The sequence below is a fragment of the Homo sapiens genome, chromosome 8 (assembly GCF_000001405.40).
Source record: "Homo sapiens chromosome 8, GRCh38.p14 Primary Assembly".
In the NCBI taxonomy this organism is placed as follows: domain Eukaryota; kingdom Metazoa; phylum Chordata; class Mammalia; order Primates; family Hominidae; genus Homo; species Homo sapiens.
In genome coordinates this window covers 93,827,632-93,853,101 of record NC_000008.11, presented here as the reverse complement: position 1 = coordinate 93,853,101, position 25,470 = coordinate 93,827,632, and the positions used below count along the sequence as shown (strand labels likewise).

The 25,470-nt window shown below is 43.3% G+C and overlaps 1 protein-coding gene and 1 pseudogene across 1 annotated transcript in view, besides 1 other annotated feature; both read right to left on the bottom strand.

Annotated features, from left to right (window-relative positions):
* Window positions 2,819-3,607, bottom strand: MYL12AP1 (MYL12A pseudogene 1; annotated as a pseudogene).
* Window positions 5,752-6,951: an enhancer, noted in NCBI's record as "P300/CBP strongly-dependent group 1 enhancer chr8:94858379-94859578 (GRCh37/hg19 assembly coordinates)". NCBI's record gives its function as "activates an origin of replication core promoter dependent on BRD2, BRD4, P300/CBP, MED14 and CDK7 cofactors, with strong dependence on P300/CBP, by STARR-seq in HCT116 cells {active_cell/tissue: HCT116}" and the evidence as "EXISTENCE:reporter gene assay evidence [ECO:0000049][PMID:35650434]".
* Window positions 20,449-25,470, bottom strand: part of TMEM67 (transmembrane protein 67) — a 77,810-nt gene continuing 72,788 nt past the window's right edge. Inside the window, exon 31 of the transcript XR_001745619.3 lies at window positions 20,449-21,595. The gene's annotated coding sequence lies outside the window, so the exon portion shown is untranslated. The remainder of the gene's footprint in view (window positions 21,596-25,470) is intronic.

The window sequence follows — 25,470 nt, the reverse complement described above, 5'->3', positions numbered from 1 at the left end:
ATTCAAAAATGAATAGTTGCATCTGTATAGAACACGTACAGACTTTTAGTCATTGTTTCCTAAATAAGACAATATAATAACCACTTACAGAACATTTACTTGTATTAGGAGTTCTAAGTAATCTAGAGATGATGTAAAGTGTGCAGGAGGATGTGTATAGGTTATATGCAAATACCACACCATTTTATGTAAGGGACTTGAGCATCTACGGATTTTAGTATCTGAGGAAGGTCCTATGGATACTAGGGGATGACTGTACCACATTTTCTTTATCCATTCATTTATTCATGGACACTTAGGTTGATTCCACATCTTGGATATTGTGATTAATGCTGCAGTGAACATGGGAGTTCAGATATCTCTTCAATATACTGATTTCATTTCCTTTGTATATACACCCAGTAGTGGGATTGCTGGATCCTATGATAGTTCTATTTTTAGTTATTTGAAGGACCTCCATACTGCTTCCCGTAATAGCTATACAAAGTCACATTCCCACCAACAGTGTGCAAAGGTTCCCTTTTCTCCACTCTCCAATAGTTGTTATCATTTGTCTTTTTGATAAGAGTCATTCTAACAGGTGTGAGGTGATATCTCTTTGTGGTTTTAATTAGCATTTCTTTGATGACTAGTAATTTTGAGCATTTTTTCATAAACCTATTGGCCATTCATTGTATGTCTTCTTTTGAGAAATGTCTATTCAGATCCTTTTTCCCATTTAAAAAATCAGGTTATTTGTTTTTTCCTGTTGAGTTGTTTGAGTTTCCTATAGTTTGGCTCTGCCAAGTCATATGTTGAAATTTGATCTCCATTGTTGGAGGTGGGGCCTGGTGGGAGGTGTTTGGGTCATGAGGGGTCTCTCATGAATGGCTGGATGCCATTCTCAAGTGACTGAGTTCTCACTCTTAGTTCCCAAGAGAACTGGTTGTTGAAAACAGCCTGGCACCTCCTCCTCCCTCTCTCTTGTTTTCTCTCTCTCTCACTATGTGATCTCTGCACACACAGGCTCGCCTTCCCCTCTGCCATGATTGTAAGCTTCCTGAGCCCTCAGATGCAGATGCCAATGCCATGCTTCTGGTACAGCCTGCAGAACCATGAGCCAAATAAACCTCTTTCCTTTGTAAATTATCCAGCCTCAGGTATTCCTTTATAGCAACACAGAGAGATTAAGACAGCATTCCTTATATTTTGGTTTTTGTTTGTTTGTTTGTTTTGAGACAGAGGCTCGCTCTGTTGCCCAGGCTGGAGTGTAGTGGCATGATCTTGGCTCACGGCAACCTCTGCCTCCTGGGTTCAAGTGATTCTCCTGCCTCAGCCTCCTGAGTAGCTGGGATTACAGGCATGCACCACCACATCTGGCTAATTTTTGTATTTTTAGTAGAGACGGGGTTTCACTATGTTGGCCAGGTTGTTCTCACACACAATAAATTGTCCCAACACAATTTATTGAAGAGATTTTCCATTCCCCATTGTGTGTTCTTGGCACCTTTGTGGAAGATCGATTGACTATAAACACGTGGATTTATTAATATTTCTGGACTGTCTATTCTGTTTCATTGGACTCTGTGTCTATTTTTGTGCCAGTACCATGCTGCATTGATTACTATAGCTTTGTACTGTATTTTATTTTAAAATATATTTTACTGCTCCTTGTGAAGCAGGACTACCCCATAGGCAGCATGCCCAGAATAGCAGCCTGTGGTGTATTTTAAAGTCAGATAGTATGATTCCTCTATCTTTGTTCTTTTTGCTCAAGATTGCTTTGGCTATTTGGGGTCTTTTGTGGCTTTATATAAATTCTAGGATTTTTTTTCTATTTTTTGTGAACAAATGTCATTGGTATTTTGATAGAAATTGCATTGAATCTGTAGATCACTTTGGACAGTATAGACATTTTAAAAATATTAATTCTTCCTTTCCATAAACTTGGGATATCTTTCCATTTATTTGTGTCTTCCTCGATTTCTTTCATCAATGTTTTATAATTTTCAGCGTATAAGTCTTTTGCCCCCTTGGTTAAATTTATTCCTGTTTAAATTTTTTGGTAGCTATTGTAAATAGGATTTTAAAAAAATTTTAAAATTTTACCATAAAGTTTAATTATGGTTCAGAAAAAAATGAACAAATAACTTTCTCTGAAAAAATATATTGACACTGTATAGATCACAGTTATTAGTGGGGAGGGGCTGGTAGGTTTAATTACCCTGTTTTCTTTTTCTTTTTTTTTTTTTTTTTGAGACAGAGTCTTGCTCTGTCGCCCAGGCTAGAGTGCAGTGGCGCAATCTCAGCTCACTGCAACCTCTGCCTCCGAAGTTCAAGCAGTTCTCCTGCCTCAGCCTCCTGAGTAGCTGGGATTACAGGCCCATGCCACCACGCCCGGCTAATTTTTGTATTTTTAGTAGAGATGGGGTTTCACCATGTTGGTCAGGTTGGTCTTGAATTCCTGACCTTTGGATCCACCTGCCTTGGCCTCCCAAAGTGCTGGGATTACAGGCGTGAGCAACTATGCCTGGTTTCTTTCTTTTTTTTTTTTTTTTTTGAGACGGAGTCTCGCTCTGTTGCCCAGGCTGGAGTGCAGTGGCACAATTTTGGCTCACTGCAACCTCTACCTCCTGGGTTCAAGCGATTCTTCTGCCTCAGCCTCCCAAGTAGCTGGGATTACAGGTGTGCACCACCATGCTGGCTAATTTTTGTATTTTTAGTAGAGACCAGGTTTCACCATGTTGGTCAGGCTGGTCTTGAACTCCTGACCTCGTGATGCACCTGCCTTGGCTTCCCAGAGTGCTGGGATTATAGCCATGAGCCACCGTGCCTGGCCAATTACCCTATTTTCTATTCTGAAAATGATATTAATAGAAAGTCCCATTTCCAGTCTGAGTATAAAGATACAGGTGCCCCAAATGGCTGAGAATAAATACAACAGGAAATGCAAAAGCTGTAAAGCTAAGGGCATGCAAGAGAAAAATCTCAGAAATACCCCAAGTGGCAACAAGGAATGTTTGGCTGGAACTTGAAGTTCTTTCAGTCATCTTCGTCTTTTGCTCCATGTTTTAGGATGCATGTGAACTCAATATAATTGAAATTTCCCTTTTTGTCAATAGGATCTTCTCTATACAGCTCATCCACTTCCTCATCCATGAACCCATCCCCCCATGGTTGTCAGCAGCTCTCACAGGTAATCTTCCTGAATGGTGCCAGTTGCTTCTTCATCAAAGCAAGCAAAAGCATGTCTGATGACATCTTCAGGATCTGTGCCATTTAACTTCTCACCAAACATGGTGAGGAACACGGTGAAACTGATTGGGCCTGGAGCCTCATTCATCATGGCATCCAGATACCAATCAGTTGGACTCTTCCCGGATGAAGCAAGCATATCCTGCAAATCTTCCTTGTCGATGAAACCATCTCTGTTCTGATCAATCATGTTGAAGGCCTCTTTGAACTCCTGAATCTGTGACTGATCAAACACAGCAAACATATTGGATGTCGTGTGCTGAGGGCACTTCTTGGTGGTCTTGGTGTTTGCTCTTTTGCTTGACATGGTGGTTAAATCCCAGCACAGCTACGAGAATCCAAGCACGTCAGCGAGCCCCTCGCTGCCGCTATCTGTAAATAGGATTTTTAAAAATTTCTTTTTCAGATACTGCATTGTACTACATAGAAACTCTACTGATTTTTGTATTTTGAATTTCTATCCTGTAATTTTACTGAATTTGTTTATTAATTCTAACATTTTTCTGGTGAAGGACTTAGGGTTTTCTATATATAAGATCATGTTGTCTGCAGAGACAACTTAAGTTCTTCTGTTCTAATTTGGATGCCTTTTATTTTTTCTCTCACCTAACTGTTCTGGCTAGGACTTCCAGTACTATGTTGGACAGAAATGGTGAGAAATCGAGTATCCTTTTCTTGTTCCTCCACTGAGTGTGATGTTAGCTGTGAGTTTGTCACATATGGCCTTTATTGTATCGGGGTACATTCTTTCTATATCTAATTTGTTGAGAGTTTATATTATGAAAGAATGTTGAATTTTGTCCAATGTTTTTTCTTCATCTATTGTGATAATCATATGATTTTTGTCCTTAATTCTTTAAATATGACGTATCACATTTGCTGATTTGTGTATGTTGAACCATTCCTGCATCCCTGGGATAAATCCCATTTGATTATAGTGAATGATTCTTACGATGTACTGTTGAGCTCGGTTTGCTAGTATTTTGTTGAGGATTTTTGCATCTATGTTTATCAGGAACATTGGCCTATAATTTTCTTTCCTGATAGTGTCCTTGTCTGGCTTTGGTATCAGGGTAATGCTGGCCTTGCAAAATGAGTTTGAAGTATTCCCTCTTCTTCAATTTTTTTGAAAGAGTTTGAGAAACATTAAGTATTAGTTCTTCAAATGTTCTTCTTTATATGAAATTGAGTTTGCTTTTTGAAGAGATTAACAAAATTGACAAACCTTTAACTAGACTAAGAAAAAAAGAGAAAGACTCTCTCTTTAAAGAAGACTTTCTCTAAATAAATGAAAGAGGGGATATTACAACTGATACCATAGAAATACCGAGGATCATAAGAGATTACTCTGAACAAATTATATGACAACAATTGGATAAGCTAGAAGAAATGGATAAATTCCTCAACACATATAACCTACCAAGACTGAATCATGAAGAAATAAAACATATGGCCAGGCGCAGTGGCTCATGCCTATAATCCCAGCATTTTGGGAGGCCGAGGTGAGTGGATCACTAGAGGTTAGGAGTTCAAGACCAGCCTGACCAACACGTTGAAAGCCCATCTCATCTAAAAATACAAAATTAGCTGGTGTGGTGAAGCATGCCTGTAATCCCAGCTACTCAGGAGACTGAGGCGGGAGAATTGCTTGAACGTGGGAGGCGGAGGTTGCAGTGAGCTGAGATCCCGCCACTGCACTCTAGCCTGGGCAACAAGAGTGAAACTCCGTCTCAAAAAAAAAAAAAAAACAAGAGAGAGGTGAGAGAGAATATATGAACAAATCAATAACCAGTAAAGAGATTGAAACGGTAATAAAAAAAGTCTCTCATCAAATGAAAGTCCAGGATCTGATAGCTTCATTGTTGAGTTCTATAAATCACTTACTCTTACCATTTGATATTTTCCTTTAAAGTGACTCCCTTTTAAGCATTATAACTATTTTATAAGAAAACTGTGTATCATTTGATAACTGGGCAATCTGTTTCACCTGCTATACATAGATGAAAAATAAAAATAAAAGTAAGGAGAATAAAATGTAATTAAGTTCGAGGTAGATAAAATTGTCTGCTGATGATGCTCAGCCTGAAACTTGTCTCATTAAAAAGAGCTTGGAAAAATGTCATTAAGTTGAAACTTTCTCCTTGACAAAAGGATTCAAAGAGAATTGAAACAGGGTGACTTTTCTGTTATATGTGAGTCATATAATAAATTCTGGAATAATTAATTCTGTTATTAATGAATACATTCTGCATTCACATAGCACCTATAATTACCTCGGGAACCATGGTGTTCTACTTAACATACTCCATAAAATACCATGCTGCAGGCACAATTGGAGAACTGCTTGTTTTATGGATATTTTTGCAATGGCTGTCTAATCAGAATGATTATAGATCAAAATACATTAAGGATAGAATTCTGGCATTAAAAAATCTGTATAAAATGGGGAAGAAAAGAAAAAGACAACTTTCTTTTGATATGCCCCCAAAAGGAAACATCTACCAAGACCTTCTTTTACTGAGTTTAAAGCTCTTTACAAATTACTAAGTAGTCAAGTCTGATGCTGATTACAAACCAATACACATTGTTTCAGTGCTCTCTTCAAGCAGAAGAAGCAAAAACACTGAGTGCAATTAAAAAGGTGACAAGAAAGAGATGGAAGACAAATCATGAAGAGGCACGAAACTGATGTGTGCTTCCTCAAGCATTACTCTATAATGAGAAAACATTTGCTGGAACAAGCCTTATACTCTCCACAAAATGCAGACTTGGCACTCATTCCATTTCTTTTTTGGAGGCTGAAAATGTCTTTGTCTACTGGTGCTGTTTAAAAGTTGTCTAATCAACATCATCATAATGCTCTGTCCCTCCTGCGAAAGCCAGCTGGGATCTCTGTTTCTATCAGGGAGCAAGTTTTAATACAGCCACTTTCCTTTCAACATATTGGCTGGGAAATCTCCCCTGCTGGGAAGTAAAAAGCTTTAATTTTGTGAATCATCAAAGCTTTTTCTTATACATGGTGTAGAATAACCTTTCCTTTTCAGAAAGTCTAATCCAATAGCCTCCCAGACCTCAGGATGTCACCAAATGGCATGTGCGTGCAAGAAGAACAAAGGAGGAAGCCATTCAAAGCCCAGCTGCATATTGCATAACACCTTGAATTAGAAAATCCACGACCCACAAAACGCTTACCTACTTTGTGCGGTTTAAATAAAGCAGAGTGCTACTCCTCTTTAAAGAACTGCTTTACAGTTATCTTCCTGTCAGAATTCCAATTATTCTATGACTCAGTGGGTAAGTGTTTAGCTTTTTGAAAACTTTTTTTGGGGTAAGAATGTGAACAAGTTTTTATAAGTTTGTAAAGGAAAAGTTTATATAATAATGCTCAGCTGCATCAAATACAAATATATTTTATTTCATTATTTGAAATAAAATATTTTCTTAATGTTTTAAGAATTGGATTTTATCTATAAAATTGATGAACATTTTCTTTGGTACATCTGAAAAACATAGTAATTCCCTCCTATCTAGGAATTAACTGATATTTGTGACAGGGTTGGGAGTATTCAATATGCACCTCTCTCAGACCTTGGGACTAAGGTTTCCATATAAGAAGAATCCCAGGCTGAAAATTTTTATGTACCAGGGATTCATTTTTCCTAATTTTTACAAAACCTGTGCACGGGCACTTTTTGTTTCATCTGTACCAAAGACTAGCTGCTGCTCACTTTCTCCACTTCCATTTAGCTCTGGGGACACAGCTAGATACTTCTCAACTCCCCTTGCAGATAAGCATGGCTCTGTGGCTCATTCTGGCCGAGGGAACTTACACAGAAGTGATGCGCCCACCTTCAGCCTGGCCCATAGAAACCTCTCCCTTGCCAGTCTTCTCGTCCACAATCTACTCGCTGAGTGGCAAAGGATCCAGGCAAAGAAGTAGAGGCTCTAAAAGGGTACCCAAGTCACAAAATGAACCATCACATGCCAATCATAAATATCCACAACGTTGAACTTTGAGTGAGAGATAAATTTTTATTGTGTTAGATCACTGATATGTTAGAGTGCTATTGTTTTTGTTTTTAAAGTAGCTCTTAATATGATCACCCGATGTCCTTGCTTCTTTCTTTTGGCCTCCCTCTGCTCTTTTTTCTTGCTCCTATTATCTTTCCTTATCATATGATTAGGTGTTTCTGATTTAATACCTTAGTGGATTTAGGATTAAACCCTCAACGGTGTTGAAATAATAAGCAGACTCAATTGATTTAATTCGGAGAAAAGGTTTCACCAATTCGACTTCTTAAAAAGCTTACAAGTTAAATATTTGAGATAACTTTTATTAAACAACTGCTTGAGTGGATGAGCATTTATCTAGTTTAGAGATCACATAAGAATCATGGTAATTGGGACAAACGTGGTGATCTCAGCATGAATGACCCAGCAGATGTGTACAAGACAAGCCTCTGCTGATAAGAAGGAAAACTAATGTGCATGAACTTTGAAGGAGAGACTTGGAAACTCAGCCAACTGTCTTTATTTGAATGGCTCTGCAGCTTCTGGTGGGCACATATAGACATTGAAATACAGGGTCAGACATCCGTAAGAGCAGGCCAGGATGAGTGTTAGTACCGCGAATAACTGGGTGAAGTTTCCAAAATCATTAAAGTTTCAAAAAAGCTCTTCACAAACAATCTAAAACTAAAATTCCAGTCTGATTTTGCATGAGCTGCTTTCTTTCAGACTCCATTTAGTGGTTAACTCACCCTCTTCTGTTCTTCATGTAGGTGGTTCTCAAACTGGGCTCAGTTAAACCTGTTCAGAGGCTGTCTCAAGAAGTGGGCTCCAGGCAATTCACTCTGGATTTAACCAGAAAAGCTTCATTTTGAGCTGTTTTGCAAACTGGGTTTTAGCATAAGCATTTATTTTGTGTGTGAGTGGAAAGGTTCCTTGGCTTTAAAGAGCTACAAACCATTGCTTCATGTCTTACCTGGACATCACATCCACTGTCAGAGGTTTAGTCTCACAAATGCCCAGTGATGTCCAAATCTGAATCTATGGCACATTTCTTTTCTGAGCACCCCCCTCATAGTCCCACTCACATTTCACATCTCCGCTTACTGGATGTCTCATAGACACCTCGTCACAATATTCCTGAAATAGAACGTATTATCCTACCTACTCTTCTTCCTTAATTAATGACATCACCATTCACCCGATTACTCAACATAAAACTCTGAATCATTCTGACCCCCTTTCCTCTCTCTCTCTCTATATCCAATCTGTCATTAGGTTCTGTTTTGTAAAGCGTCCTAAATATCCTTTAAATGTGTCCTTTCTCTCCGCCCTCACTGTCACTGCCTTGGCGTAGGCCCTTGTCATCATCCTTCATCTGGATCATTAAAATAGTCTCCAGATGGCTCTCATATCACTCTGCTTCGTGGCTGCCCTGAGGGTTTATATAAAATACAGTAGAACGCATAACAGTTAACATTTACGTTTAGCTTTGTAGTCAACCGATGCTTTCATGTACATTGTCGTATTTAAGTCTCACAACATTTCAAAAGACATTGTTATTATTCTTAATTCAGAACAGGAAAATGATGCCTAAGAAAATTGAACAAGGAGTCTCACCAAGTCATAGGACTGTGATTTGAACTCAGATCCAAAGACTCTAAAGTTTACTCTGATGACATTAAGCTATACCTCCAAACAGGCATCACCATGCCTAAAAGAGAAAGTGCAGAACTTGTAGTCTGAGAAAGCCTCTTTATAGTCATGCCCCACAGAGCATATTTAGTAGTTAATAATAGAGCTGTGGAGTTAGAACTCACATTATAGTGTGAAACCTTAGAGAAATTATGTAAACTCTCTAATCTGCAAAGTTTCTTAGTTTCTTAATCTGTGAAGTGCAGCTAATAATAGAGTTTATCCTACAAGGTTGTTGTGGGGCTTAAATAAGGTCGTGAGTGTGAAGCCCTTCACACTTGGCCTGTCCCGGAGAAAGTGCTCAATGAATGTTGGTTGTTGGTACCGATTTACCAGCCTCATCCTGCACCATTTCCTTTCTGTCTTCCACCCTTCAAACAGACCAGACCATATTCTCTGCTACTTCTTCTTTGAAGCCTCAAAAATTCAGGTTGATGACTCCCCGACCACTTTATACCACCCCTACAGTTAGATACTTGGTTGGTGAGTATAGCCTTTAAGTCAGCAGTGGATTGTTTCCTGGGGTTGGTCAATAGGGCCTTGAGAAAGTCCCCCACACAACAGAATGTTCTTCCCACAAACTCTCGCTGGCCTCCTGCTTTAGGCTTCCCATTTCCTTGCTCTGCCTCTCCCCCATCCCCTGCCATTTCTGACTTCAGATGTGTCCCCTAGGCTTGCCCTGGCTCCACTTTCCAGCCAGCTGCCTGGCCCCAGCGTCGTGGCAGCTATCTGACCTCAGCTCCACACCAGTGCTGTGCTTCTGGGCAAGGCTTTGGCATCTTGGTCCTACTGTCTCTGGCATCTGACCTCAGTCTGTCCTGTTTCTAGCTTTCCTGGAGCTGACAACTCCCAGAGACCAATCAACAATGGTTCAGATGGGACGATAATAGCTCTTATCACACTGTTTCGTGTTATTTCTTTGTCTTTCTCGTCCATTAGGCTAAACCCTTCCAGGACAGAAAGACCTTGTCTTTGATCTTAGTAGATCCTTCATAGCATCAGGTTTAGAATAAGTGAGTGCTTGTTGATTGAATAGACTATTCTTTCTCCACATAGAGGCATCTGATAGCACAATCTTCTGAAACTGCTGTTGTACAACCACATTCAGATTAATGGGAGGTACATACAACTGTGGTCATATGTGAAGTTTTTTTCCCCACCAGAATAATATAAAAAAAACACCCCTAAAATAGTCTTAAAAAATTATTTTCCTGCCAGGCGCAGAGGCTCACACCTGTAATCCTAGCACTTTGGGAGGCCAAGGCAGGCGGATCACCTGAGGTCAGGAGTTCAAGATCAGCCTGGCTAACATGGTGAAACCCCGTCTCTACTGAACATACAAAATTAGCTGGGCATGGTGGCGCATGCCTGTAATCCCAGCTACTCAGGAGGCTGAGGCAGAAGAATTGCTTGAACCTGGGAGGTGGAGGTTGCAGTGAGCCACAATCGCGCCACCACACTCCCACCTGGGAAATGGAGTGAGACTCTGTCTCCAAAAAAAAAAAAAAAAAAAAAAATTTCCATTATATGCTGACAAGTTTCTACAAATTCGACTATGTCATCAATTGTCCTCATTAATTTAGTTTCATTCTATACATTTTCTTTGTTAACCCTTTGCTTTTCATCAAGCACTTTGTTGATATTAATCTCTTACTTCTGTACATAGAGTCCTTGAAAGGAGTTTTATCTTTGTGTTTTCTTGCTGCACCTTGTTGAGTAACTTTTTCCAAGTACAGTACATGCTACATAATATTGTTTAAATTGAAATATACAGAAATTTTTGCAGCTACAAAATAACCTCATTTTGTGTTTGATTAAACTATCACAGCTTTCATTAAGATACATTTTTGTTTAACCACTAGACCTTTTATTTATTTATTTATTTATTTATTTATTTATTTATTTATTGAGATGGAGTCTCACTCTGTCACCAGGCTGGAGTGCAGTGGCATAATCTCGGCTCACTGTGACTTCTGCCTGCTGGGTTCAAGCGATTCTCTTGCCTCAGCCTCCTGAGTAGCTGGGATTACAGGCATGCACCACCACGCCCAGCAAATTTTTGTATTTTTAGTAGAGACAGGGTTTCACCATGTTGGCCAGGATGGTCTTGATCTCTTGACCTCATAATCTGCCCGCCTTGGCCTCCCAAAGTTCTGGGATTACAGGCATGTGCCACCACGCCCGACCTATTTTTATTTTTATTTTTTATTTTATTATTATTTTTCTGAGACAGAGTTTCGCTCTTTTTGCCCATGCTGGAGTGCAATGGCACGATCTTGGCTCACCGCAATCTCCGCCTGTCAGGTTCAAGCAATTCTCCTGCCTCAGCCTCCCGAGTAGCTAGGATTACAAGCATGCACCACCACGCCTGGCTAATTTTGCATTTTTTAGTAGAGACAGGGTTTCTCCACGTTGGCCAGGCTGGTCTCGAACTCCCGACCTCAGGTGATCCGCCTGCCTTAGCTTCCCAAAGTGCTGAGATTACAGGCGTGAGCTACCGCGCCCAGCCTTATCTTTTTAAATCTGTAAAACAGTAAGGTTGCTTAGATGAGCACTTTCTTTTCAACTCCACCGCCTGTAGTGTGTGGTTGTGAGATGTGACTAAAAACTCTGCTGTCTTCTTGTCTCAGGTGATCTTAGAATTAATAGAGGAAATTTTAAAATTCTATTGGTTTACTAAAAAGAAAAATGTACTTTGAAATTATTAGTTTTTAAAAGAAATAAGCTTTAGAAAAATGCAAATTCATGCAACAACAAGATACCACTTTTTAATCTATTACCTAAAAACATATGGGTTAGGGAAATGCACATTAATGAAAAGAGATACCACAAATTGCCTACCAAAAATATGATTATCCCTGGTGTTGGGAGGCATTATTGTACACCACTGGTGGGAATGTAACTTGGTGCAATTTTCATGGAAGACAATTTGACAGTATGTATGCACCAGACTTAAAAATGCATATAACAGCTGGGTGCGGTGGGTCATGCCTATAATTCCAGCACTTTGGGAGGCTGAGGTGGGCAGATCACTTGAGGTCAGGAGTCTGAGACAAGCCTGGCCAATATGGTGAAACCCTGTCTCTACTAAAAATACAAAAATTAGCCAGAAATCGCTTGAACCCAGGAGACGGAGGTTGTAGTGAATCAAGATCGTGCCATTGCACTCCAGCCTGGGTAACAGAGTGAAAGTCCGTCTCAAAAAAAAAAAGAAAAAAGTATATAACCACCCATCTGACAATGGGTTAATAACCAGAATATACAAGGAGCTCAAACAACCCTAAAGGAAAAAAATCTAATAATCTGATCAAAATATGGACAAAATATTTGAATAGACATTTCTCAAAAGAAGACATACAAATGGCAAACAGGCATATGAAAAGCTGCTCAAGTCTGGGCACATGCCTGTAATCCCAGCACTTTGGGAGGCCAAGGTGGGTGGATCACCTGAGGTCGGGAGTTTGAGACCAGCCTGACCAACATGGAGAAACCCTGTCTCTACTAAAAATACAAAAAAATTTAACTGGGCTTGGTAGCACATGCCTGTAATCCCAGCTACTCGGGAGGCTGAGACAGGAGAATCATTTGAACACAGGAGGCGGAGGTTGCAGTGAGCTGGGATCATGCCATTGCACTCCAGCCTGAGCAACAAGAGCAAAATTCCATCTCACAAATAAAATAAATAAATAAATAGAAAAGCTGCTCAATATCATTGACCATTAGAGAAATGCAAATCAAAACTACAATGAGATGTCATCATTGATAGCAATGAGATATCAGCTAAAATGGCTTTTATCCAAAAGATAGGCAGTAAGAAATGCTGGTGAGGATGTGGAGAAAAGGGATCCCTGTACGCTCTTAGTGGAAGTGTAAATTTGTACAACTACTATGAAGAACAACTTGGAAGTTCCTCAAAAAACTAAAAGTTGAGCTACCATTATGATCCAGCAATCCTACTGCTGGGTATATACTCAAAAGAAAGAATATCAGTATATTGGTGAGATATCTGCACTTCTATGTTGCAGCACTGTTTACAATAGCTAAGATTTGGAAGCAAACTAAGTGTCCACTGACAGATGAATGGATAAAGAAAATGTGGTACATATACACAATGGAGTACTATTCAGCCATAAAAAAGAATGAGACCCAGTCATTTGCAACAACATGGATGTAACTGAAGATCATTATGTTAAATGAAATAAGCCAGGCACAGAAAGGCAAACATCACATGTTCTCACTTATTTGTGGGATCTAAAAATCAGAACAATTAAACTCCTGGACTAGAGAGTAGCAGGATTGTTACCAGAGGCTGGGAAGGGGAGTGGGGGCTGGAAGGGAGTTGGGGATGGTTAATAGGTACAAATAAATAGTTAGAAAGAATGAATAAGACCTACTATTAGATAGCGCAGTAGGGTGACTGTCGTCAATAATAGCTTAATTGTACATTTTAAAATAACTTAGAGTATAATTGGGTTGTTTGTAACTCAAGGGATAAATGCTTGGGGGATGGATACCCCATTCTCCACGATGTGCTTATTTCACATTGCATGCCTGTGTCAAAACATCTCATGTACTCCATAAACATATACACCTACTGTGTACACACAAAATTTAAAAAATAAAAAGTAAAATTGTTCTCATTAAAACAAAATAAATAAATAAAAATGCATATAACCTTTAAGCCAGAACTTACTCTTTTAGAATGTTCTCCTAAAACCATCATTGAAAATAGATGCAAAGCTTTAGCTAAATGGTGGTTCGCAGCATTTTAATTAGAAAAGAAAAGCTCTTTGAATGCTTGCAAACTGAATGAAGTACCATTTCCCAAACAAGCAAGGACAGATATTTGAGCCTACTGCTCTGTAAAAATTGTGTGGCTGGACACACAATAGAGAAGAAACATGTAATCACTCCTCTCTGAGGCTGAACCATTGGCGGGAGGGAGGTAAAGGCCACTTTTCTTTATCCCTTCCCCAGCTCCATTTCAGGACAAACCAGAGGAAACTGAGCATCTTGCAAGCTGAGCAGTAAAAAGCTAGAAGGTAGAAAAGGAAGAAAGGAGGCCAGGTCAAACCTACTCCCAGACCCCATCTGAAGGGGCAGGTTCCAGAACACCAAGAAGACTGGGGGCAAGGAAAGCTCTCTTGTGTCACCTTGTAATCCCCATGTGTGTATAAATCAAATAGAAAGGCTCCCTTCTGCTCATAGGCTGTACTGATGGTTAGGATTTATTTTAAAGTTTATGACAGAAAATAATTTAAAGGTCCAACAATGGAAGATGGATAGAAAAAAATGCTTATAGAAGATTTTACTAACATGAAATTATATTTACAATATATAGATGAGTGAAAAAAGCAGGTTACAAAAAATGTATGCAAAGTTATCTCATTTCTGTAAAAAACAATACATACACACATATATATGTACAGCCACAAACAGAAAAAAATATGGAATGGTGATATGGTTTCAATCTGTGTCACTACCCAAATCTTATGTAGAACTGTAATCCCCAGTGTGGGAAGTGAGGCCTGGTGGGAGGTGATTGGATCATGGGGGTGATTTCTCATGAATCATTTAGCACCATCCTCTTGGTGCTGTGCTCGTGACAGTGAGTGAGTTCTCATGAGATCTGGTTGTTTTTAAAAGAGTGTAGCACCTTTCTTCTTCCCTCCTGCTCCTACTCTGGCCACCTGCTTCCTCTTTCCCTTCCACTGTGATTGTAAGTTTCCTGAAGCCTCCCTGCTTTCTGTACAGCCTGCAGAACCATGAGCCAATTAAACCTCTTTTCTTTATAAATTACCCAGTCTCAGGTATTTATTTATAGCAGTGTGAGAACAGACTAATACTAATAGTATACTTTGAGGTGTTAACAGAACTCTAGGTACTGGGGCTAGATTCAGTAGCTAATAAGACAGACAAGACCCCTACTCATGGTGCTTTTATTCTCATAGGGAAATAGATAACATAAACAATAAGCTAATAAATAAATATATAATATATGATACATATTGTTGTCAGTTCTGGGGATACAACTTTGTGAACACACTAGGCAGTTATGGTCCCTGTCCTAACAAGTTTTCTTGTCTGCTATGAATAGGGAAGTGAGGAGGCTGTGGGGACCTAGAAAAGGGACACCTGACCTGGTCATGAGGGATCCGGGAAGGCTTCCCGAGGAGGGAAGTCCAGGCTAACAGCCAAAAGATGAGTAAGGAGTAAGGCAGTTGCAATAAGAGAGAGCTTTCCAGAGAGAGACCAGGGTAGGTTTTCAGACCTCAAGGAGAGAGGGAAGGAAGGAGGGCAGACAGACACACGGACTGGCTGAATGACCAACTGCTTTATTACAGGAATTCATTCTGGTATCTGTGGCACTTAGGGTTTGAGCATGGATGGAGCAATGAGGAGTAAAGAAGCCCGGGAAGTAGGTCATGAAGCCATGTTAAAGAGGGCTTGGCCTTGACCTTGAGTGATCTCTCAAAGGTCATTACGAGTAGTTCAAGGGCTCAGTAAATGAACTTAGCCCTAGTGTGTACTTCTTTAGGAAGGAACCATTTTTTAAATAATAGTATCTTTAAAACCCATTTGTGAAGAATATTTAATTACAGGGAGATATACTTATGCTGTGGTGCTTAAAGAGCAGGCTACAAAACAATGTGTATAGTATACATGGTAACCCCCTTATGGAAAAAAGTATAAATATGTTATATGTTATTTATAATGCAAAGAAAATGTCTTAGGGAAATATGCTAAAACCAAATGTAATCTGTGGTTACCTCTAATGATGGAATTACAGGTAGTTTTTGTTTTCTTTGGTTTTCCGTGGTTTTCAAAATTTCTACAATGAAATGAATATATACTCTTTTTATAATCAGAAAAAAATACTTAAGTGTGCTTTAGGGACAGAGAGCAGTGCCCTAAGGGTTATACATCACCAAGTGTCCTTGCCTATAGGCAGTTATTCAGGGGATAAAAATAGGCTCAACACTGAAGTCTGTCCAGGCATGGTAGCACATGCCCGTAGTCCCAGCTACTTTGGAGGCTGAGGTGGGAGGATCGCTTGATCCTGGGAGGTCAAGGCTGCAGTGAGCTGTGATTGTACCACTGCACTCAATCCTGGGCATGGGCAACAGAGCGAGACCCTATTTCAAACAAACCAAAACAAATAACAAAAAACACTGAAGTCTGGATGGGACTCCAGGACTCAACATTTTTTACTTGCATGAGATTTTACTCACATTTTTCTGGAACAGTTTGAATTGTAGTGTGAACTGCACTAAAGGAAGCGCTATTTTTTGACAGCATGACATAAATTTCTCTATTGGCAGATAGGTTTCACCAGTACAATCAATATGTATGCACATATTTTTGCATGCCTAAGCATGTCATTTGTATATGCTTTAAACTTTTAAGTCCTGTTTCTAAGAATTCTGTGCCACATTCGTCGTACTTGACAAGCCAGGTGAACCACCTAAATTAGATCATTTCTCCATTAAACTATTCTCAGCCTGGCTATGGCTGTCCTGAGGAGACTTTAGCGCTAGCTCTCCACTGAGGGGCTTGCCAGTGACCTTGGACCTACCACAAAACTGCTTTGGGCTCCAATTTTCTGAATCACAAATGAGCGAGGTAAGCTACGATTGCTAAGGTTGCCTAAATTCTATGATTTCGGGACTTATTTCCCATCGTAAAACTTGACAACATCCTAAAAACAGAGTGAAGACCCAACCCTCTTTGAATACTAATAATTTTCATTTCATTTGTTGACTAAAGAAAAAGCATCAGGCATTTTTTTTTTTTTTTTTTTAGATGGAGTCTCGCTCCGTTGCCAGGCTGGAGTGCAGTGGCATGATCTCGGCTCACTGCAACCTCCAACTCCAGGGTTCAAGCAATTCTTCTGCCTCAGCCTCCTGAGTAGCTGGGACTACAGGCGCGTGCCACCACGCCCGGCTAATTTTTACATTTTTAGTGGAGATGGGGTTTCACCGTGTTGCCCAGGCCGGTCTCGAACTCCTGAGCTCAGGCAATCTGCCCGTCTCAGCCTATCAAAGTGCCGGGATTACAGGCATGAGCCACTGTGCTCAGCCAACCATCACGCTTTTAAAGAATTAAGGCTAGCTTTATTTAGAAGTCTTCCTGAGGACTATGGACCAAGGTCTAGAGCCTGGGAGCAGTCTCGGCTCTGGTACAGTTTTTCATCTCACTGCTTATATACAGGTGATGGGGGTTCAGTACATGCAAAATCACATCAAACTTCCTCAGAAGTTACATTAAAGCAGAATCACATCAAGGTTTGGGTGTAAGAGTACATCTGGTTAAAAATTACAGAGGCATAATCACTAACCCCATCTGACATTATCTTATGTGTAGGACAAGGCAAGGACCAGGTCATTTATCTTTTAAGCAGTATAGTGACTCAGGCAAGAGATGTGGGGGGCCTATGTGCTCTCTCCTGTTTTGTCTTCAAAGCATCTTTCCAGAGAGCTGCCTGTCCCACAGAGTCAGTGACTTTTTGAAATTGTGGTGCCAGGAAGAAATGAAGAAATACGGCTTCTTATGTTTGCTACTTTGTCCCACATATTTTACAAGTTTTACAGAAATTGATCAAGTGCTATTTTATTATATTTAATTTTATTAATTTTTTATTTATTTATTTTTTGAGACAGAGTTTTGCTCTATCGCCCGGGCTGGAGTGCAGTGGCGCCATCTTGGCTCACTGCAACCTCTGCCTCCCAGGTTCAAGCAATTCTCCTGCCTCAGCCTCCCAAGTAGCTGGGATTACAGGCGCATGCCACCACACCCAGCTTAATTTTTGTACTTTTAGTTGAGACAAGGTTTCAGCACATTGCCAGGCTGGTCTCAAACTCCCGACCTCCCTCTCCCTCTCCCTCTCCCCCTACCTCTACCTCTCCCGTCTCCCTCTTTCTACGGTCTCCCTCTCCCTCGTCTCCCTCTTTCTAAGGTCTCCCTCTCTTGCGGAGCCTGGACTGTACCGCCATGATCTTGGCTCGCTGCAACCTCCCTGCAGTGGGCGATTCTCCTGCCTCAGCCTGCCCAGTGCCTGGGATTCCAGGCACGCGCCGCCACTTCTGACTGGTTTTTGTATTTTTGATGGAGACAGTGTTTCGCCATGTTGACCGGGCTGGTCTCCAGCTCCTGGCCTCGGGTGATCTGCCCGCCTCGGCCTCCCGAGGTGCTGGGATTGCAGAGGGAGTCTCGCTCACTCAATGCTCAATGTTGCCCAGGCTGGAGTGCAGTGGCGTGATCTCGGCTCGCTACAACCTCCACCTCCCAGCCGCCTGCTGTGGCCTCCCAAAGTGCTAAGATTACAGCCTCTGCCCGCCCGCCACCCCGTCTAGGAAGTGAGCAGCGTCTCTGCCTGGCCGCCCATCCTCTGGGATGTGAGGAGCGCCTCTGCCCGGCCGCCCCGTCTGGGAGGAAGTGAGGAGCGCCTCTGCCCGGCTGCCCCGAATGGGAAGTGAGGAGCACCTCTGCCTGGCCACCCCCTCTGGGAAGTGAGGAGCGCCTCTGCCCAGCTGCCCCATCTGGGAGGAAGTGAGGAGTGCCTCTGCCCAGTTGCCCCGAATGGGAAGTGAGGAGCGCCTCTGCCCGGCTGCCCAGTCTGGGAAGTGAGGAGTGCCTCTGCCCGGACACCCCATCTGGGAGGTGAGGAGCGCCTCTGCCCGGCTGCCACCCCATCTGGGAGGTGAGGGGCGTCTCTGCCTGGCTGCCACCCCATCTGGGAAGTGAGGAGTGCCTCTGTCCGGCTGCCACCCCATCTGGGAGGTGAGGGGCGTCTCTGCCCAGCCGCCCCGCCTGGGAAGTGGGCGCCTCTGTCCGGCCGCCCCGTCTGGGAGGTGAGGGGCGTCTCTGCCTGGCTGCCCCGTCTGGGAGGTGAGGGGTGCCTCTGCCCAGCTACCAGCCTGGGAAGTGAGGAGCGCCTCTGCCCAGCTGCCCTTTGTCTGGGAGGTGGGCAGCACCTCTGCCTGGCCGCCCCATCTGGGAAGTGGGCACCTCTGCCTGGCCGCCCTGTCTGGGAGGTGAGGGGCGTCTCTGCCCGGCCGCCCCATCTGGGAGGTAAGGAGTGCCTCTGCCCGGCCGCCCCGTCTGGGAAGTGGGCGCCTCTGCCCAGCCACCCCGTCTGGGAGGTGAGGGGCGTCCCTGCCCAGCCGCCCCGCCTGGGAAGTGAGGAGTGCCTCTGCCCAGCCACCCTTCATCTGGGAGGTGGGGAGCGCCTCTGCCCGGCCGCCCCGTCTGGGAGGTGAGGGGCGTCTCTGCCTGGCCGCCCCGTCTGGGAGGTGAGGGGCGCCTCTGCCCGGCCACCCCACCTGGGAAGTGAGGAGCGCCTCTGCCCAGCCGCCCTTCATCTGGGAGGTGGGGAGTGCCTCTGCCCGGCCGCCCCATTGGGGAAGTGGGCGCCTCTGCCCAGCCACCCCGTCTGGGAGGTGAGAGGTGTCTCTGCCTGGCTGCCCCGTCTGGGATGTGGGGAGCGCCTCTGCCCGGCCGCCCCGTCTGGGAGGTGGGGAGTGCCTCTGCCCGGCCGCCCATCGTCTGGGAGGTGAGGAGCGCCTCTGCCCGGCTGCCCCGTCTGGGATGTGGGGAGCACCTCTGCCCGGCCGCCCCTTGTGGGATGTGAGGCGCACCTCTGCCCGGCCGCCCCATCTGGGAAGTGGGGGGCACCTCTGCCTGGCCGCTCTTCGTCTGGGAGGTGGGGAGCGCCTCTGCCCGGCTGCTCTTCGTCTGGGAGGTGGGGAGCGCCTCTGCCCGGCTGCCCATCGTCTGGGATGTGAGGAGCGCCTCTGCCCGGCCGCCAACCCATCTGGGAAGTGAGGAGCGCCTCTGCCCAGCCGCCCCATCTGGGAAGTGAGGAGCGCCTCTGCCCGGCTGCCCTGTCTGGGAAGTGAGGAGCGCCTCTGCCAGGCCGCCCCATCTGGGAAGTGTACCCAACAGCTCCTAAGAGACAGCGACCATCGAGAACGGGCCATGATGACGATGGCGGTTTTGTTGAAAAGAAAAGGGGGAAATGTGGGGAAAAGAAAGAGAGATCAGATTGTTACTGTGTCTGTGTAGAAAGAAGTAGACATAGGAGACTCCATTTTGTTCTGTACTAAGAAAAATTCTTCTGCCTTGGGATGCTGTTAATCTATAACCTTACCCCCAACCCCCTGCTCTCTGAAACATGTGCTGTGTCAACTCAGGGTTAAATGGATTAAGGGCGGTGCAAGATGTGCTTTGTTAAACAGATGCTTGAAGACAGCATGCTCGTTAAGAGTCATCATCACTCCCTAATCTCAAGTACCCAGGGACACAAACAGGGCCAAAGGCCGCAGGGACCTCTGCCTAGGAAAACCAGAGACCTTTGTTCTCGTGTTTATCTGCTGACCTTCTCTCCACTATTATCCTATGACCCTGCCACATCCCCCTCTCTGAGAAACACCCAAGAATGATCAATAAATGCTAAAAAAATAATAATAATTAAAAAATAAATAAAAAAAATAAAAAGAAAACTCCCGACCTCAAGTGATCCGCCTGCCTTGGCCTCCCAAAATGCTGGGATTACAGGTGTAAGCCACCCTGCCCGGCCCAATTGCTATTCTAAAAAGAAATGTCTGAAGTTGCTTTCACATTCTGGAAGGTGGAAGAAACAAGTCTGCTCTTTTGCTTGAAAAATACCTAGAGGGGTCTTTTGATTATAGAAGGTGATCTCTCCAAGGCATATTCTGGAAAGAGGAGGTTCTGGCAGATAAGGAAATTGTTCTGTAGGTAAAGTAGAGAGATGGTGGAGTTGCAATGCTAAAATAAGGGGTGGTTGTATCAATGGAAGTGGCTTAAGCTCTTTCCTGTAGCCTCCATGGGTACCCCTACCCAATCCAAGTAGCATACAATCTAAGTAAAAACAGTGTGCTTCAAAGCAAAGCAGACTTTGAGATAAGACCTCTAGCCCCAGTTTCCAATCAGGCTGTTCTCACTGAGCTCCTCCTTCTGTATAGAGAGTTTTTGAGTCACTGCTGGTGAAGGAGAAAGGTACAGGAACCCTGGGGACTCCAAGAAGATGATACAGAGGAATGAGGGTAGAGAGGAAAGTTGGCCCTAGGAGCACAGCAGCAGGCCAGGGCCTAAAAGGAAAGACAGTAATGTAAATTTCCTGTGCTGGAGAGTTGGCTGAAGGACTTGGAGGATGGCAAGACCTGATGTCCAGCTTGAAGTTGTTTTCCAAGCAGTGCCCCTCTCCATTACTCCCGACTTTCAGCAAAGGTTAAAACTTGCAGTTGTCTAATGTTAATGGTGCTTTGGAAAATGAAGGAAAGGTGAAGTGGTAGAAGAACAATAGCTGCAGGGCAAGAGAAACAGGAATTCAGCAGAACCATTCAGAGGGGGAGGTGACTTGACGAACAGAAGCCACCATGCCTTCTGCACATTCAGCTCCTCTGCTGTGACGTCCACCACACACACAGGCACACAAGCACAAACACACACACACACATGCACACACACACAAGCACATGCATGCACTCATGCACACCTTCCCAGGAATCCTCAGAAACCTGGAAGGAGGCAGGGCTTTTCATAATATTTGGGTTGGGGACTAGATACTCACCAGTTCACTTGGATATTACATGACAGGGTATTCTCAAAAGGTTGGAAGATTGGCGAATGGCTTTCACTTGAATGTAAATGACAGAAAAAAATAGTCCTGTTATATTAGTAATATTAAACCATCGTCAGCTGTTATTTTTCTTTAAAAGAGAGTCAAAATGTCCATTGTAATAGAAATCTTTTGCCCAATTGTTGGCAAAATTTTCAACAAGTTCCATGTCTGTTTTAATCTCTTGCTTCATCAGCTGAGCTAAATGCAAACCTTGTACTCACATGTGCTTGTTAACCTGGCCATTCTTTCATTCTCCAGGCCCCCTGTCTTCCCTGGGCCTTTTCTAAGATAACTTTCACTTAAAGGGGCTCAAAGAAAGGCCTGGTCCACTCACATGGGTTGTCTCCTCTTACTTGTCATAGTGATTTTAAAACTGGAAATGATTTTAGTGCTGGGTGCTTTCTATGCTCCCCATGTGGCGTGTGTGAAAGTGGGAGCACCGAACATGTGAGTGTAACAGGAGTGAATATACCAGATGTGCTGTGGGTCTCAAGGACCTGGCTTCATCCAGATTTACTGTTAGTGTCCGTGATCATCACAAGCTGAGGAAGGTCCAGACCCTCACTGTACTATCACTTCTAAAATCAAAGTACGAGATCATGAAATGATTCTGCGAAGGCAGAACTTTCTTTGATTATTCATGGAAATACGTGGGCAAATGCTTTTGTGCATGATGATTATAACAAGAATTCCTACCAGGGAGAGCTTTGCCTGTGTTAGGAAAATACCATCTTGTCTGAGGTAAAAGCTGAGTCTACAGAAGCTGGGCTTGGCTTGTTATATTACAAGAAGCTCCTGGGTGAACCCAGAGGGAGGGTCTAAGTGTGGATAAAATAACACTCAGTGTGCTTTTTCCTATTCTCTTACAACAATCAACACACAAGATTTCTGTGATCAAATGTGTGGGAGTTTCTCCCCACCACCAAACAAGCAATCAGTTCTGCAGCGGACACCAACCTGGTACCCCAATTCAATTCTGACACTATCTATCTGGAGACAGTGTCAGATCCCACGGGTTGAGGGCTCAGTCCCCAAGATCACCCCCGCTCCCAGATACCAGTCACATGTCAGGGCCTCCAGAAGTTCTGACAGACTGGCTTCAATTTGGGGTTGCTACAACCACTCTTTGGGTTGGGTTAATTTGCTAGAGTAGCTCACAGAACTCAGGGAAACACATTGACCAGTTTGTTATAAAGGATATTACAAAGGATACAGATGGAGAGATGTGTAGGGTGAGGCATGGGGGGAAGGGTGCAGGGCTTCCACAGGCACTCCACCCTCCAGGAATCTCATGTGCTCAGCCATTTGGAAGCTCCCCAAATGCTGTCCTCTTGGGCCTTTTATGGAGATGTCCTCGGATAGGCATGATTGACAACCATGTAGAAATGTGTTTGGACAAAGGGATATGATCTAATGCTAATAGACTGAGTGGGGAGACCCAGCAAGGCTTGTCTGTCCAGGTTCTCCTTGGCTTCTTGGTGCAGTTTTCCTTCCTCCAGGTTATAGGGCAGGACCCCTTCTGAAATGGGGGTCTTATGGCCTACAATCAGACAAGGTAGCTCAGGGAATTTATGGTCAGCTCCAAGACGGAAAAGTAGGGGAAGATTCCTGTCTTGGGGAAAGAAAGAAGGGTGGGGGAAGGTCAGAGAAAGATTCTATTTTCTGAGGCCTGATTCTGAGGCCTAAAATGCCCCCCAGGATTATAACAAAAGACTGTAACAAGGGCTGTGGGAGTTATGAGCCAGGAACTGGCTCATCCACCATATATTAAAAATACCACGGAGAGAAGGGGAGAGAAAAAGAGAGAGAAAGAAAGGGAAAGAGGAGATGTTGTGCTGTTCCATAATGGGGCCTCCCGAATTCTCAGAAAGTTAAAAAAAAGTCACAGAACGCTTGGTGAAACTGCATTTCTTGTGGGAACCACAGAGGATCTGAGGAGCCAACCAGCTCTAAGCCTATGTGATCGCAGGGAGAAGAGGCCCCTGGCTGCATTTGAGGGATATGGCCATGCTTAGAGGTAGTTAGAGGAGTAGATCCAGTGAGCAGGAGTGGAGGTGCTGTAGCAAGTGTTAGTGCTTGGGAAGTGAACACGGCTGATTAGTGAAAAGATACACACACACACACACACACACACACACAGAGAGAGAGAGAGAGAGAGAGCACTCATAAAGGAAATCTCCTGATTTTGAGGAAAGACTTGAGTGAGAGAGTTCAAGAAAGTAGTTTATTCTGTCCATTCGGGACATACGGTGACAAATCCTTACAGGAAGAAGAAAACTATGCCTATTTCTGCCCTTGAATGGAGTGCAGGCATTCCTGGAAAGTGCGACCGACAGGTGTACTACCGCAAAGAAGAGCCTATTTTCCTCCTAGGGCAATGATGATAACAGAGTGGCATCCTGACCAACAACTCAGCATCACATAAGCCATAAATAGAACCAACCGCATGTCATAAAAGCAAAGGTAAGTATTAACTTATATAGTTACCTCAAATTGTAAAATTATTTCATAATGTCTATAAAATAGGCATAAATGTAATATACACATAATGTTACAAGAAACTCCAATATGCTATAAAATGAATAGCCATTAAAACAACTAGTGTTAACATAAATATAACATGAAATATGTTATAATAAAAATGAACTAAACACTTGACTAACAATAGTCTTGTTTGCCTTCTTAGCAGTTAAATATAGTTTTATGGCACAACATATAGGTATAACTCTTAAAAGGGCTATTCAAGAAAGTGAGTTAATACTTTTTTTTTTTTTTTTTTGAGACAGTCTTACTCTGTCACCCAGGCTGGAATGCTGTGGTGTGATCTCAGCTCACTGCAACCTCTGCCTCCCAGGTTCAAGCGATTCTCCTGCCTCAGCCCCACCCCCCGAGTAGCTGGGATTACAGGCATGTGCCACCATGCCCAGCTATTTTCTGTATTTTTATTAGCGATGGGGTTTTGCCATGTTGGTCAGCCTGGTCTTGAACTTTTGACCTCAAGCAATCCACCCACCTTGGCCTCCCAAAGTGTTGGGATTACAGGTGTGAGCCACTGCCCCTGGCTTCTTTTCTCTTGGTAAGTGTTCCTGAATTAAGTAGTGCTGCTTGAAGTCAATTAATCAAGAGTTCCTTAAGACACATTGTAAATACTTACTACTTGCTTGTTGTTCTTGTTGTTGTTGGGGGTGATGATGATGATGGTGGTGATGGTGGTGGTGTCTTCTCTGAAAACACTGAATGCATATGGCTACATGTTCTTTTAAGAGGTAGGACCTTCCAGAGGGTGTCAAGTGAAATAAGTTCATACTATGGCACCTGACATGGAACAACTGGGGAGCGGTGGTTTGGAGGTACTTTATGAGTCAGGATTGCATTAAGCTGCATGGAATAGAGACTTGTCTGTAAATAGGGCTTTGTCCTTCCCAATAACAAGAAGTGGATGCAGCCTGGGGCTGGCACAGCTGCTCAAGATAGTGGTCAAAGACCCAGCTTCTCTACCTGCCTGCTGTGCATCCTCACGCTCCTGCATCTCCAGGCATCATGAACACATTCCAGGCAGGAAGACAGAAGGGCAAAAAGTGTGTACCAGTATGTTTATTCCTTTTTATGAGGAAATCAATAGCCTTCTCAGATGCCCCATCAGCAGACTTCTGCTTGCCTCTCATTGGCCACCATGAAACAGGGTTTCTTAGCCACAAGGGAAACTTAGCAGATTCCATCCCAAATGAAACCAGTGTTCCATAGTAAAAAAAAAAAAGAAGGGAAGCCAGGCACGGTGGCTCATGCCTGTAATCCCAACACTCTGGGAGCTGAGGCAGGAAGATTGCTTGAGCACAGGGGTTCAAGACCAGCCTGGGCCACACAGTGGGATCCTCATCTCTACAAAAAAT